Here is a 13,738-nt window from a genome sequence, read left to right as displayed (position 1 = left end):
AAAACAAAAAAGATTCTTTTTCTGTGTGTGTGCTGACCTGACCCACAGATATACACCATGTCAAGCTTCACCCAGAACTATTTTGCTTCAGGTGGCAAGCCTGAGAAACCAGTTTTTCCTGAAGTTTGCCTGATAAATACGTTTATGATGAGCTGTACTGTCATTCTTCTATCTTGCCATAGCCTTGGAAGGCCCCTCCTAAGCTGGCCAATTGCCTGTTGACGTTGGTAATCAAGGATTTCAGAGGCAGACATCAAGGCCAACATGGGGCAACGACAGGAGGGACTGGGGTGCTCTGCCATATGAGGCTGCGGGAAGGCATGGATCCGAGTTTTAGCCACAGCATAATAGGCGGTCTGTGATGGTTTTGTGGGTAACCAGTGAGCTTCCCCAATTGATCGGTGCAGTTATCATTCTATTTTAGACCCCTAATTGGCATTTCCAAGCAGTTTAAATATGTTTTGAGAAAAAGGCAGTAAAAGAGACTAAATCTGGGGGAAAGCAAAGCTTCAGTAAAAATAGCATTCCAAATATTTCAGCTGGGATCTCTTTGTCTAACTAACAGAGATTTGGAGAGTGGATCAGAAGGCCTGCATCTCCTTCCCCTTCTGCAATTAGCCAGGTATATGCCCGTGGGCAAGCCATTGAACTGATCCTGGGCCACTGTTTCCTTACTTACAAGATGAAGAGGAGCCCCACCTTGCTACTTCCAAGAGCGTAGGAGCTGAGCACCTTTGGGTTGCCCTGGTTTGTGAAGGCCCCCTGAACTAAGAACACATTATATATTGATCAGGAAAGGAATTCGATATAGGCTTGGAGGTGATCTCTGTAAAGTCAGAAAGAGGATCCTAGGATTCTAAGGCCATATGCACAGGGCAGTGAGCAAGAACTGAAGTTACAGGACTCTCAGGTTCCTGTCTCAGGTAAGTCCCTTCCAGGTGTTGGCTGAGTTGCTCTATGGCTCATTTTCTTAATTGTGTCAAGCAGAAGAGGTCACAGAGGGTGGAGCATTGGCCAATGTGTCATGTTCTCAAAGTTCTGAAAAAAGGACAGAGGGAGCAGAAAGGCCAGAAGAGGAGTTTCCACAGCAAACTGACCACAACCAACTATCCCATTCCCTTCCCAGACTGGAAGGGACAAGGGCACCAGGTAGCTGCAGCCTCCATGGTTTCTTAAGTATCTTCATCCCTTTAGCACCATAGCCACCAACTTAAGCAAGGAAATCAAGATCTTTAACAAACAGGGGAAGTCCAGGAGATGGTAATTAGGTGAACTTTTGGAGATTTTGGGGGAATCCGTAGATGTTTATCTTTTCAAGAGATAGACTCCCTTTTAAATTTTGGTAAAATCTACATAAATGTCATTTACCATTTTAGCCATTTTTACATGTACAATTCAGTGGAGAGGCCCTTTTTGATAACTTTCATTCTCTCCCTGTGCTGATGTAGACTGTGTACTCCCTGCTAGGAAGATTCCTGGTTGTTCTGCAGGGTCATTCTGAGGGCGTCATCCAGTTAAGTGGATTTGGCTCCTGCAATAGGGGAATACCCCAAAATACCAGAAACAGGACAGGAAATTATTCTGTGGTCATTTATCCTTGATACTGATGAGATCAGATTTGCTGCTGCATCCCTTTAATTTTTATCTCTGCATTGTCCCTAACCACTTATCTTGACCTGTGGCTTGCCCTTGGGCCTGATCTCTTTCATTATAGTGCATTTTGGTTCTCTGCTGACTCCTGGCGCATTCTGATTATTAAAAAAAAACCCTATTTTTCTTGGGATGTGACTTGTCTGCCCCTTCAGTGGTCCTTGCAGAGCTTATTTGTCAGATACTATTGACAGCTTCTGCTCTCTACCTGAGCTCCAATCCCATTTCCCTGACTGCCTACTGGCCATTTCCTCTGGAATGTGCAGGTCATTGTTCTGCCAAGCAGATTGCAACATGTCCAAAAACAACCTTCTTCTTTTTTTTTTTTTTTTTTTGCCACAAATCAGCTGCTCATATAAACTGTCAGTCCCTGTCAATAGTCCATGAAGTTATTTAGATATAGAGAAGCAAATTCCTCTTTGATTTGATCTCCTCTTTCATCACTCTCAGCTGTTCAGCCCCTAGAACAATCAGGTTTTCCTTCAAATATTGATCTTGTTTCTGTCATTCCCTCTCTCCTATGCCCATTTCTAGGTCCTTACTTCCTCTAATATCATCTACTGTTCATGTCTACCCTTTCCCTGATTCAATTACCTGTGAAAGACTGAGGCCAGACCTAGACTACCTTCATTAATCAAATCATGTCTATTCAAAACCCTGAAGTTCTTCCCTATTCATATAGACTTCTTGCTCTTCTTTGCTGTCAAAATTTCCTCTAATCTGATCTCATACTAGACAATATTTCTGCCAGGTGGCTATATTGTAATGGGAAGTTTAATGGACTTGGAGTTAGTGGATCTGCTTTCAAATCCTAGCCCCGTACTCAGCAGAATGACCTTGGGCAATTCACTGACTCTCGAAACCTTGAATCCCCATTTGCAAAACTGGGGTGATAATACCTATGTCATAGGGAAGTTTATGAGATTGTAGTAATATCTGTGGAGACAGTTTAGCATTGTGCTCGGAACCCGTGTTTGGGCTGACTTACTTGGTTCAATACTAGGCTTTCCCACTCAGTAACTATGTGACCTGAAGCAAGTTCCTTAGCCTCTCTGGGTTTCATCAGTTTCATCTGTAAAATGGATACATTACCTATGAGGTAACATATACCTCATAGGTCTGTCGTGACAATTAAATGAGATAATATATGTAAAGCACTTTAACACAGTGCAAGGCACATTGTAAGCTTTAATAGGTGTAAACTATTATAATTATGCAGCAAGAGACCTAGTGTAATCAGCACTTGATATATGTTTGGTAAGTTTGTTTGTGTGAGACAGTGTCTCACTCTGTCACCGACACTGGTGTGCAGTGATCATAGCTCACTTGCAGCCTCGACCTCCCAGGATCAAGCTGTCCTTCCACCTCAGCCTCCCAAGTACTATACTCCCTGGGACTATAGGCGCACACCTTCACACCCCGCTAAATTGTTTTGTATTTTTGTAGAGAAAGGGTCTCACTGTGTTTCTCAGGCTAGTCTTGAATTTTTGGGCTCAAGCGATCCACCCACTTCAGCCTCCCAAAGTGCTGGGATTATAGGCATGAGCCACCGTGCCCAGCCTAAGTATGTTGATGAATTCATCTTATTCAGATGATCTTAACTTCCCATTAATTTTTGCTATGTACATTCTTATGCCACCCTTCCTCCAGACAGGCTGACTGCTTTGGTTTTCCATGAATATATCTTTCACTTTTCTTGCCTTTGATAATGGTTTCCTATTATAATTTATAATTCATCACATGAAATAGTAGGTACTATATCATTTCTAGAATGTCATAATTTCTCTTTCCTGCCAATCCAGATTCTTTCCATTTTTTAAGGTCTCTCCTAAACGTTGGCTTGGTGACACTTTCCCTCATTACTTCTGTACTTATCAGTGTCTCATTTTTCTGAACCAATTACCCTTGGCTTAGCACTTGATGCCATTAATCTGTCAGGTACACTTAGCTGCTGTTTCCTGTATATTCATTTTGTGTCTTCAGCTCAAATGAAAACAGTCCTCAATCCAGCCTTGTTTCAGAACATGCAGTAAATATATAGTGACTATTAAATCTATTAGATCCAACATTCTAGAATAATTTTTCAGGTCTACAGCCTCTTATCAAAAGACTGGCCTATGAGGGTGGGCAGAGGGTTTGGGAATAAGAAGTTCCTGCTGCATTGGACAAGGTCCTTTCGCCTCTGGGCCATGTTGTCAGCGAAGTACTTAAGCACAGGGGCTCCGAAGGTGAGGGGCTGGGAGTAGACCATCAGACCATCCCTGACACAGACAGGAAAGTGTCCCCATTCAAATCTCATTCTTGCTGTGACAGGCTTTGCCTTTAACTAGTTTCTCAAACTTCTTGTACTTTTACACAACATTTGCCCTACTGAGAAACTGGCTTTGCGTGAAACTTCCCATGGCTTGAAGCAAGTCCCCATGACGGTGTTTGCATACCACTGGGGTTTTGTTCCTCCCACACATGCCAATAAAGATGAAGTGGCACTAAGATGACGTGATATGAAGGACATCACTGCAGCCTGCAAAGCAGAGAATGTTTGAACTATGTCAAAGAGTCATACCAGGGTTTCACAATTACAGAAAAGGCCAAGAAAGACTAGTCAAGAATGCAAGGTGAATAACGTTGTCTCTGCTCCAGTTCTCACGGGTGCTGTAGCCCCCACTGAACGCCCATTTCTCTGCACTCCTGTAGTACATATCATCTGGACTACACAATTCAGTCCTGCATTATACAGTGTCCTTCAAAAATTGCTTTGTGTGTTGTGTTCTCCCAGCTAGTTGTAAGTTCCTGAGAATACAGACCACATCTTATACTTCCTTGCTATTGTATATAGAGCCTTGCAATACCATTTAACTCAGTGTTGGGCACAATAAAATTCTCAACAGTAAATGTTGATGGATTTGGTTTTGGAAATGTAAATTTATAAAAAGTGGCCCTGCAAAGGAGAATGAGAAGACTCACTTCCTTTTGAGGGCTGTGGGCCTGGGAGTCCCATCGTCATTTGCAGTGTTGCCAGCAGCAGCAGCCTTCTTTCACAGGACAGGGAGTCAGTACAGCACCAGTAAGACACGTGGTTTCATTGCTTTCCCACTCAGAAGAAGACCACTCAGCACAGTGCCGGAGACCCTGCCCTGATTCCCCTTTCTCCTCCCAACCACAAAGGCCATGCAGGTAGAACTTGAGGGGCATCAGAGATTATCTGACTGAACTCCCTTGTTTTGTAGATGAGGAAACAAGGCAAGAGCAGCTGAGGGTGGTGGAAAGCATATGCATGGGCTTTGGAGTTAGGCAGTACTGGACTCTAATCCCAGTGCTGTTACCCTTTAGCTGTGCGATTGTGGGAGAGTCTGTTAACATCTCAGAGCCTTGATTTCCTCATCTTTAAAGTGTAACAATGGCGACCCACAGGAAATGTTGTAAAAACTCAGGGAAATAATATATGCAAACACAGTGCTTGGCAATAATAGATGCTCAATACCTGTTGGGCTCTCTATTTTCCTTCTCTTGAGTCTCCTGCCCAAAGTCATAAAACAATTTAGTGCTAGCCTCTCCTGTTTTTCAAGCTGTTTTCTTTCAATCAGGTACTAAAGCTAACCTCCTACCCACTAGAAAATTAGGATCAACCATTAACACATTTTTTAATGCTGAAATTTATAACAAAATTTTTAATGCTCACCAGACGTGGTGGCTCATGCCTGTAATCCCAGCACTTTGGGAGGCCAAGGCAGACAGATCACCTGAGGTCGGGAGTTCGAGACCAGCCTGACCAACATGGAGAAACCCTGTCTCTACTACAAATACAAAATTAGCCGGGCGTGGTGGTGCATGCCTGTAATCCCAGCTACTTGGGAGCCTGAGGCAGGAGAATTGCTTGAACTCAGGGGGCAGAAGTTGTGGTGAGCCGAGATCACGCCATTGCACTCCAGCCTGGGCAACAAGAGTGAAACTCCATGTCAAAAAAAAAGAAAATCCCAAGATTTGGACATATTTATTTGGAGCACTTTTATATACCTTGAGATAAAAGAACTTAAAAGATAGAAATACTAAATTTCAGTGTCAGATTCAAAGGTATTGAGGTTTTATCCATTTCCAACTACAGTGTTTGAACTTTTGGTACTCCTAAAATAGTACTCATGGCCTTTTACCCCTTACAAAAATAAAAAAAATTCTGGCTTTGGTATATTTACGTGCTTTGCTTTGCAACCTGATATTTTTCACCTGTCTTTCTTAAGACATACTCTGCCGTCCATTAATCATCAATTGGATCTAAAATGAAAGCACCGCTGTTGGGGTTCTGTTAAAAAAATAGAAACTCTCACTCTGTCATGCCGTCAGTGGCACAACCATGGCTCACTGCAGCCTCAAACTCCTGGGCTCAGGTGATCCTCCCACCTCAGCCTCCTGAATAGCTGGGACTACAGGTATTACAGGTATACCCAGCTAAAAAAAAAAAAAATAGAAACATATTGGTAACAATCATGTGTAGTGGTTTTGTTTCAGAAATAAAATACACATTCAGTCAGGTGTGGTGGCTCATGCCTGTAATCCTGGCACTTTGGGAGGCTGAGGCAGGAGGATCACTTGAGCCCAGAAGTTTGAGACTAGCCTGGGCAACACAGTAAGACCCTCTCTTTACAAATAAATAAATAAATAAATAAATAAATAAATAAATAAATAAATAAATAAATACGAAAATTAGCTGGACATGGTGGTAAGTGCCTGTTGTCCCAGCTACTAGGGAGGCTGAAGTAGGAGGATTGCTAGAGTCTGGCAGGTTGAGGCTACTGTGAGCTGTACTTGGGCCACTGCACTCTAGCCTGGGTGACAGAAGAGCAAGACTCTGACTTGAAGAAAAAAAGAAATGGACATTCATATCATTTATAAAAGTGAATGGTTGATGATAAACCTTTTTTTCCCCCATACTGGAAAGGATTTCCTGAGATCATTATTTCTTTTTTTCTCTGCCTCAGCCTCCCGAGTAGCTGGGATTACAGGCGACTGCCACCACACCTGGCTAATTTTTGTATTTTTAGTAGAGACGGAGTTTCACCATGTTGGCCAGGCTGGTCTTAAACTCCTTAACTCGTGATCCACCCACCTCGGCCTCCCAAAGTGCTGGGATTATAGGCGTGAGCCACTGTGCCTGGCCAAGATCACTATTTCTTTATGAATTTTTAGTTAACAGTCATTGTATTTAGCTACAAATAAATCTTTAAGCATGGAACAGAATCAGACTTAGACCAGAAGAAAAATATTATCATGAAAGGCCTCCCAATTGTGATTATTGCAATTATCATATTGTGATAGATGGTTCATGATTTAGAGGATCAGTTAGGTCCTGCAAGACAGAGAGACAAAGCAGGGGCAAATCTCCCTGGAGTTTTCTTTGTGGAGGGTACGGTAGGCAAAATGATGGTCCCCCAAAATGTTCACATCAAAATTCTCAAAACCTGTCCTATGTTATGTTACATGGCAAGAGAGATAAAGTTGCAAAGGAAATTAAGGTTGCTAGTTAGCAGATCTTAACATAGGGAGAGCATTCTGGATTATCCAGGTGGACCCAATATAATCACAAGGGTCTTTAATAGGAGATGAGGGAGGCAGAAGTGAACCAGAGGGATGGTTGATGAGGTGAAAAGAACTCAAGCTGCTATTGCTGGTTTTGAAGATGGAGGAAGAAGGCCATGAGCCAAGGAATGCAAGTGGCCTCTAGAAACTTAAAAGGGTGAGGGAATGGATTATCCCCTAGAGCCTCCAGAAAAGAATGCAGCCCTGCTGACACCTTGATTTTATTAGGGAGACCATTTTGTACTTCTGAATTACAGAACTGTGAGACAATACATTTGTGTTGTTTTCAGTCACTAAGTTTGTGGTAATTTGTTTAAGCAGTGATAGGAAACTAATACAGAAGTTCTCTCCAAACAAAGACTAACAGACCATCTTCCTCCAAAGATGCTGTTTGGCATTCTGGAATTTCACGAAACTATGAGTTACAAAGTTCCAAAAAGAACTGAGCCATGGGGAGAGGCTGAAAACCAAAGTTGTGGAGGCACAGTGATCAGCAGTTAGCAGAGAGTGCCTCTCATGTTTGACACCGTAAAGAATGGAGAGGAAATATAAACGAACTATTAACCTCAAGGAGAGGCATGATTAATAGCAATACTTGGTATTTATGGCCAGGTGCAGTGGCTGAGCACTTTGGGAGACTGAGGCGGGCAGATTGATTGAGCCCAGGAGTTCAAGACTAGCCTGGGCAATAAGACAAAAACCCCGTCTCTACAAAAAGTACAACAATTAACAGTTTATTAGTGGCAAGCGCCTGTGGTCCCAGCTACTTCAGGAGGCTGAGGTGGAGGATCACGTGAGCCTGGGATAGGTTGAGGCTGCCGTGAGCCGTGATGGTACCACTGCATTCCAGCCTGGGAAACAGAGTGAGACCCTGTTCAAAACAAAACAAAACAAAACAAAACAAAACAAAACAACTTGGTATTTTTATGTTTTATTATTTATTTATTTATTTATTTTGAGACGGAGTTTCACTCTTGTCACCCAGGCTGGAGTGCAATGGTATGTTCTCTGCTCACTGCAACCTCTGCCTCTTGGGTTCAAGCGATTCTCCTGCCTCAGCCTTCTGAGTAGCTGGGGTTACAGGTGCCCAAGACCAGGCCCCGTTCATATTTTTGTATTTTTAGTAGAGACGGGGTTTCACCATGTTGGCCAGGCTGGTCTTGAGCTCTTAACCTCAGGTAATCTGCCCGCCTCAGCCTCCCAAATTGCTGGGATTACAGGTGTGAGCCACCATGCCTGACCTTATTTTAAATAGTCTCATTTAATTCTCCCATCAATGCTATGAGGTAGAAATTTTTATTACTCCATTTTGTAAATAAGAAAACGTGAAGCTAAGAAAATTATTTTTCCTGCAATTAGACAACAGTAAATGGAAGAGTCGGGATTCAAACAGATCTGTCTGGTTCCAAAACCTTTAAATGCTTCACTACTTTGGTATCTGTCCTACCAGAGCCACTCAGCCGGGAAGTGTACGATATGTAGAGATTGCTTATTAGATCAGGTAATTTCTGATCGTTAAGTGGAGGTTACGGGCAGACATGTGGACATTGTGCAGCGGTATCCACCCTCCAGGTATCTGCTTCTCATGAACATGAAGTCTTCCTAAAATGTACCCACTGTCAAACATCACTGCCAGTGGTGGCTTCTTGCTGAACATTTTTAATCAACTGTCCACCATAAACCTAAATCTGACATGTCTAAACTATAGCTCAACTCTACCTCTCTACCTCAATCAGACCTTTCTCCTGACTTTCCTATTTAAGAATTTCATTATTCTTAAACCCAGCCATGTAGATTCAACATCTATAAAAACTATGACAGCCACTATTGGCTAAGAATGCATTCCTGTTTTTGTGCTAAGCATTTTAGATGTCATCCATTTAATCCTCCCAATAACCCTATGAGGAAGGTACAATTGTTAACCCCATTTTATAGATGAGGAAATTGAAATTTATATAAATTGCCAAAGGTGACACCTTAGCATCATCTTTCATTACTCATCTCCTTCACCCTCCATAGCTCGTGAGTCACCAAGTCCTGTCAATTCTCCCTCTGTATTGTTACTTGTGTTTGTTGCTTTCTTTCCATGTCCATTGTCACTGTACCAGTCTTGCCCGTTTTTGACCTATTGACCTATGCCTGAATTGCTACCATAGCCCAATATGGTCTTCCTTGTTCTATAATCTCCTTCCTCGCATCTTTCTAATTTGCTTTGGTCAGAGTAAGCCACCTAAAGTCCCACTTTTATTCCATCTATCTTCAAGTTCAAACCTTCAAACTGAAAAAGATACACCCAAATGTCCCCAGAGGTAATCTTTGGAGAGTGTTATGATAGCAATATTTTTTAAAGAAATTAAATAATTTAGCTATATTAAAAATAAAAGAAAAATGTGTTACAACGATATGTTGAAATGATAGGCCAAGATGCATATAAAGATTAGCAACCATTGTACCCTATAAAATGTGTGGTTCTAGCCTTGGGGAACTCTCACTGGCCATCTGACCATCTCAAATATGCAAATCCTTTTTTGAGAGGCAAATCTTCTTATAAAAAGAACAGTTATGTAAATGTGTTTAATGTTTTCCATGTACTTATACATTTTATTATTAGTATTAAAATAACAAATGTACGTGGAAAAAAAAAACTCAATCAAAATACTACCAAAGGAAAATAGTAACTGTGTGTGGGGAAAGATGTGTTAATTAATTTGATTGTGGTAATCATTTCACAATGTATATGTATATCAAATATTCGTACTGTATGCTTTGAATTATATAATTTCTATTTGTCAATTATGCCTCAGTAAAGCTACTGAAAAAAGAAAAAAAATTCCACCAAAGGATAAAACAATAAAAAAATTTATCTCTCAAGGTAACTATTGAATAAGGTGTTTTGTATATTTTTCTTCACACTTCTCTGTAATTTACAGATTTTTTTTTTCTTTTTTCTTTTTTTTTTTTTTGTTGTTGTTGTGACAGAGTCTCTTGCTCTGTTGCCCAGGCTGGAGTGCAGTGGCACAATCTTGGCCTGCGCCACCACGCCCGGCTAAATTTTAATTTTTTAAAGTAGAGACAGGGTTTCGCCATTTTAGCCAAGCTGGTCTGAAACTCCTAGCCTCAAGTGATCTGCCCACCTCTGCCTCCCAAAGTGCTGGGATTACAGGCATGAGCCACTGCGCCCGGCCAATTTACAGACTTTCTACAATGAACATGTATTGCTTTATAATAAAACATAAGGTCAATAAAGCATAATGTAAACAAAGGAACCAAACTCTCCGTCATTCCCTGCTACTTATAATATAAAGTCTAAAATCTTTGACTGAGGCCTGATGTAATTTGGCCCAAACTGCTTTCCAGGCTTATTATATACCCTTAAATTTAAATGTTCTGCATCAGGTAAACTATTTTAAACCCAATTTTTCCTGCTGTATCTCTGACTTCTGCTTCTTTTTTCTTCCTGAAATGAGCTTCCCCATTCTCTTTCAATATCCCAACTCAATCTATTGTTCAAGGTCTTAGACCCAAGGAGAGCCTTTCCTAAGAAGGAAGGAGTCAGTATGTAGTGTTTACTATGTGTGCTAGGCCCTCTACTTGGAGCTTTACTTGGTACTTCATGTAACCCTCACAATAACTCTGGAAGGTTGATGTTATCTTCATTTTGCAGATGAGGAGACTATGTTTCCCTCAAGCCACACAGCCAGTGTGTGGTGAAGCTGGAATTTGTTGCCGGCTGAATCTTCTGCCCCAGGTCAGCAAGTTCTCATTTTTTCTAACTTTTGTAGCTCATATCTGAATGATACGTTTTACCAGTAATCACAGAAGTGCTTTCTAATATAGTGGCATTTCCTATAATGTTATTTTTAACTAAGTTTGTGGTAATTTTTGTTGGTGGTAACTTATATTTGTACTTTTGTTTATCTTCTCAACAAAAGCTCCTTTTGGGAAAACTTGGGTTCGAGTCCTAACTTGCTACTAGCTATTTGTCTTTGAGCAAACTCTTTAACTTTTCTCAGCCTCAGTTTCCTCCACTGTAAAATACAAAATAATAATATCTAACTCTTGAGGGTTATGAGAGTTAAAAGCCCAGAATATTCCTTGTACAAAAGAGCTGCCTGTGGTGTATTTGATTTGACATGATGATAGTTTATTTTCAAATCCATTACATTTCCAGTTTCTTTATAGTAACTAGAAATATAGTAAACCACTATAGTGGTTTGAGATTTTTTTTTTTTTTTTTTCCCCAAGACGGAGCCTCGCTCTGTCACCCAGGCTGGAGTACAGTGGTGTGATCTTGGTCACTGTAACCTTGGCCTCCTGGGTTCAAGCAGTTATCCTGCCTCAGCCTCTCGAGTAGCTGGGATTACAGGCATCCACCACCACACCCAGTTAATTTTTGTATTTTTAGTAGAGATGGGGTTTCACCATGTTGGCCAGGCTGGTCTTGAACTCCTGACCTTGCGATCTGCCTGCTTCAGCCTCCCAAAGTGCTGGGATTACAGGCATGAGCCACTGTGCCCAGCCGAGATATTCTTAAAACTCAGTGACCTAAACTAGAGGTATAGATCTTTTGTGTCAAGACAATAGAAAATTGACTACATAAACTTTAAAAGTATTTTTAATTAAAATCGGTTTTCTGCTTTTTGGTCAGAATATCCCATCTTGCTGTTTAACCAACATTGAACAAGAGGTTCAGTTACTGGTTAAAGACTGTTCCTAAGGTAAATGTTTACATTTATAAACATGAATGTTGTGACTGAATGTTGTCACTGTTAGTCCAGAAAGCCACTGTGAATTTAAAAACTTAGTACACTGAGACATATGTTTACTCAGAAAATGAAAAAAACATTAAAAAATCTCTGGCCTTCAAAAACAGCAATTTTAAAAAACAGATTATTTATATCAGAAAAAAAGGAAGCCAAGCACAGTGGTTCATGCCTGTAATCTCAACACTTTGGGAGGCCGAGGCAGGAGGATTGCTTGAGTGCAGGAGTTCTAGACAAGCCTGGGCAACAAAGCAAGACTCTGTCTCTACAAAACAAACAAACAAACAAAAATTAGCTGGGCATGGTGGCACATGCCTGTAGTCCCAGCTACTCAGAGGGCAAGAGGACCACTTGAGTCCAGAAGGTTGAGGCTGCAGTGAGCCATGAAGGTGCCACTGTGTTCCAGCCTGGGTGACAGAGTGAGACCCTGTCGAAAAGAAAGGGAAAGGGGAAGGGGAAGGGAATTACTGTATTCATTCCAATTATTTTCTTCAGGGTCAGATAAAAAGAAGCAAAACTCACCTAAAGAAATGGTTCATACGGCCGGGTGCAGGGGCTCATGCCTGTAATCCCAGCCCTTTGGGAGGCTGAGCCGGGTAGATCGCCTGAGGTCAGCAGTTCGAGACCAGCCTGGCCAACATGGTGAAACCCTCTCTCTACTAAAAATACAAAAATTAGCCGGTGTGGTGGCACATGCCTGTAATCCCAGCTACTTGGGAGGCTGAGACAGGAGAATTACTTGAACCTGGGAAGCAGAGGTTGCAGTGAGCTGAGATCACACCGTTGCACTCCAGCCTGGGCAACAGAGTGAGACTCCAACTCAAAAAAAAAAAAAAAAAGAAAAAAAAGAAATTGTTCATAATTTTTTGGCTTTTACAGCATCTTTATTACCATTCTTTAATTTTTCAATTCCTGCACAGATTATTTATTTATTTATTTATTTCTTTGGAGATGGGGTCTCTCTCTGTCACTCGGGCTACAGTGCTATGGCACAATCTTAGCTCACTGCAATCTGGAACTCCTGGGCTCCAGCAATCCTCTTGCTTCAGCCTCCTCAGTAGCTGGGTCTATAGGTGCATGCCACCATGCCTAGCTAATTAAAAAAAAACAATTTTTTTTGGTAGAGACAAAGGTCTCACTATGTTGCCCAGCCTGGTCTTGAACTCCAGGCCTCAAGTGGTCCTTCCACCTCAGCCTCCTGAGTAGGTAGGCCTACACACATGTGCCATCACACCTGGCCTTTCTGCATAGACTTTCTAGTAAAGGTGCTGTAAGACCTTTACTTGCTAAACTGAATTAGATTTAATTTCATTCTGAAGTTTGTGAGAGTTGGACATAATCCTTAGGATAATTGTGGAGGCAGAATAAAAATTAGACAGGGGCCAGGCATGGTGGCTCACACCTGTAATCCCAGCACTTTAGGAGGCGGAGGTGGGCAGATCACTTGAGCCCAGGAGTACGGGACCAGCCTGGGCAACATGGTGAAACCCAGTCTCTACTAAAAATACAAAAAGTAGCCAGGTGTGGTGGCGCATTCCTGTACTTCTAGCTACTTGGGAGGCTGAAGCAGGAGGATTGCTTGAGCCTGGCAGGTGGACGTTGCAGTGAACCAAGATGGCGCCATTGCACTCTAGCCTGGGTGACAGAGTGAGACTCAAAAAAAAAAAAAAAAAAAAATAGGTATTTGCCACTTAAATTTAAATTTTTGGTGAGTTGTGAATCAACAATTGAGAAAAATTATAAGCAACTGCTAA

At 41.6% G+C, this 13,738-nt stretch overlaps 1 long non-coding RNA gene across 1 annotated transcript, besides 2 other annotated features; it reads left to right on the top strand.

The window, feature by feature from the left end:
* The first annotated feature begins 265 nt into the window (after positions 1 to 265).
* Positions 266 to 12,089, top strand: LOC107984486 (uncharacterized). The gene is made up of 3 exons (XR_001749010.1): positions 266 to 923; positions 10,886 to 10,969; positions 11,870 to 12,089. It is a non-coding gene; the product is annotated as an uncharacterized LOC107984486 (long non-coding RNA).
* Positions 1,666 to 2,167: an enhancer, noted in NCBI's record as "NANOG hESC enhancer chr12:12737991-12738492 (GRCh37/hg19 assembly coordinates)". NCBI's record gives its function as "activates a minimal SCP1, AML or CMV promoter by ChIP-STARR-seq in naive H9 embryonic stem cells {active_cell/tissue: H9 hESC(naive)}" and the evidence as "EXISTENCE:reporter gene assay evidence [ECO:0000049][PMID:30033119]".
* Positions 3,722 to 3,781: an enhancer, noted in NCBI's record as "active region_6014". NCBI's record gives its function as "activates an Ori minimal core promoter by ATAC-STARR-seq in GM12878 lymphoblastoid cells {active_cell/tissue: GM12878}" and the evidence as "EXISTENCE:reporter gene assay evidence [ECO:0000049][PMID:35858748]".
* Positions 12,090 to 13,738: the final 1,649 nt, after the last annotated feature.

This window comes from Homo sapiens, chromosome 12 (assembly GCF_000001405.40).
Source record: "Homo sapiens chromosome 12, GRCh38.p14 Primary Assembly".
In the NCBI taxonomy this organism is placed as follows: domain Eukaryota; kingdom Metazoa; phylum Chordata; class Mammalia; order Primates; family Hominidae; genus Homo; species Homo sapiens.
Note: the sequence above shows the minus strand (reverse complement) of the source record. Positions and strands in the feature narration are given on the sequence as shown.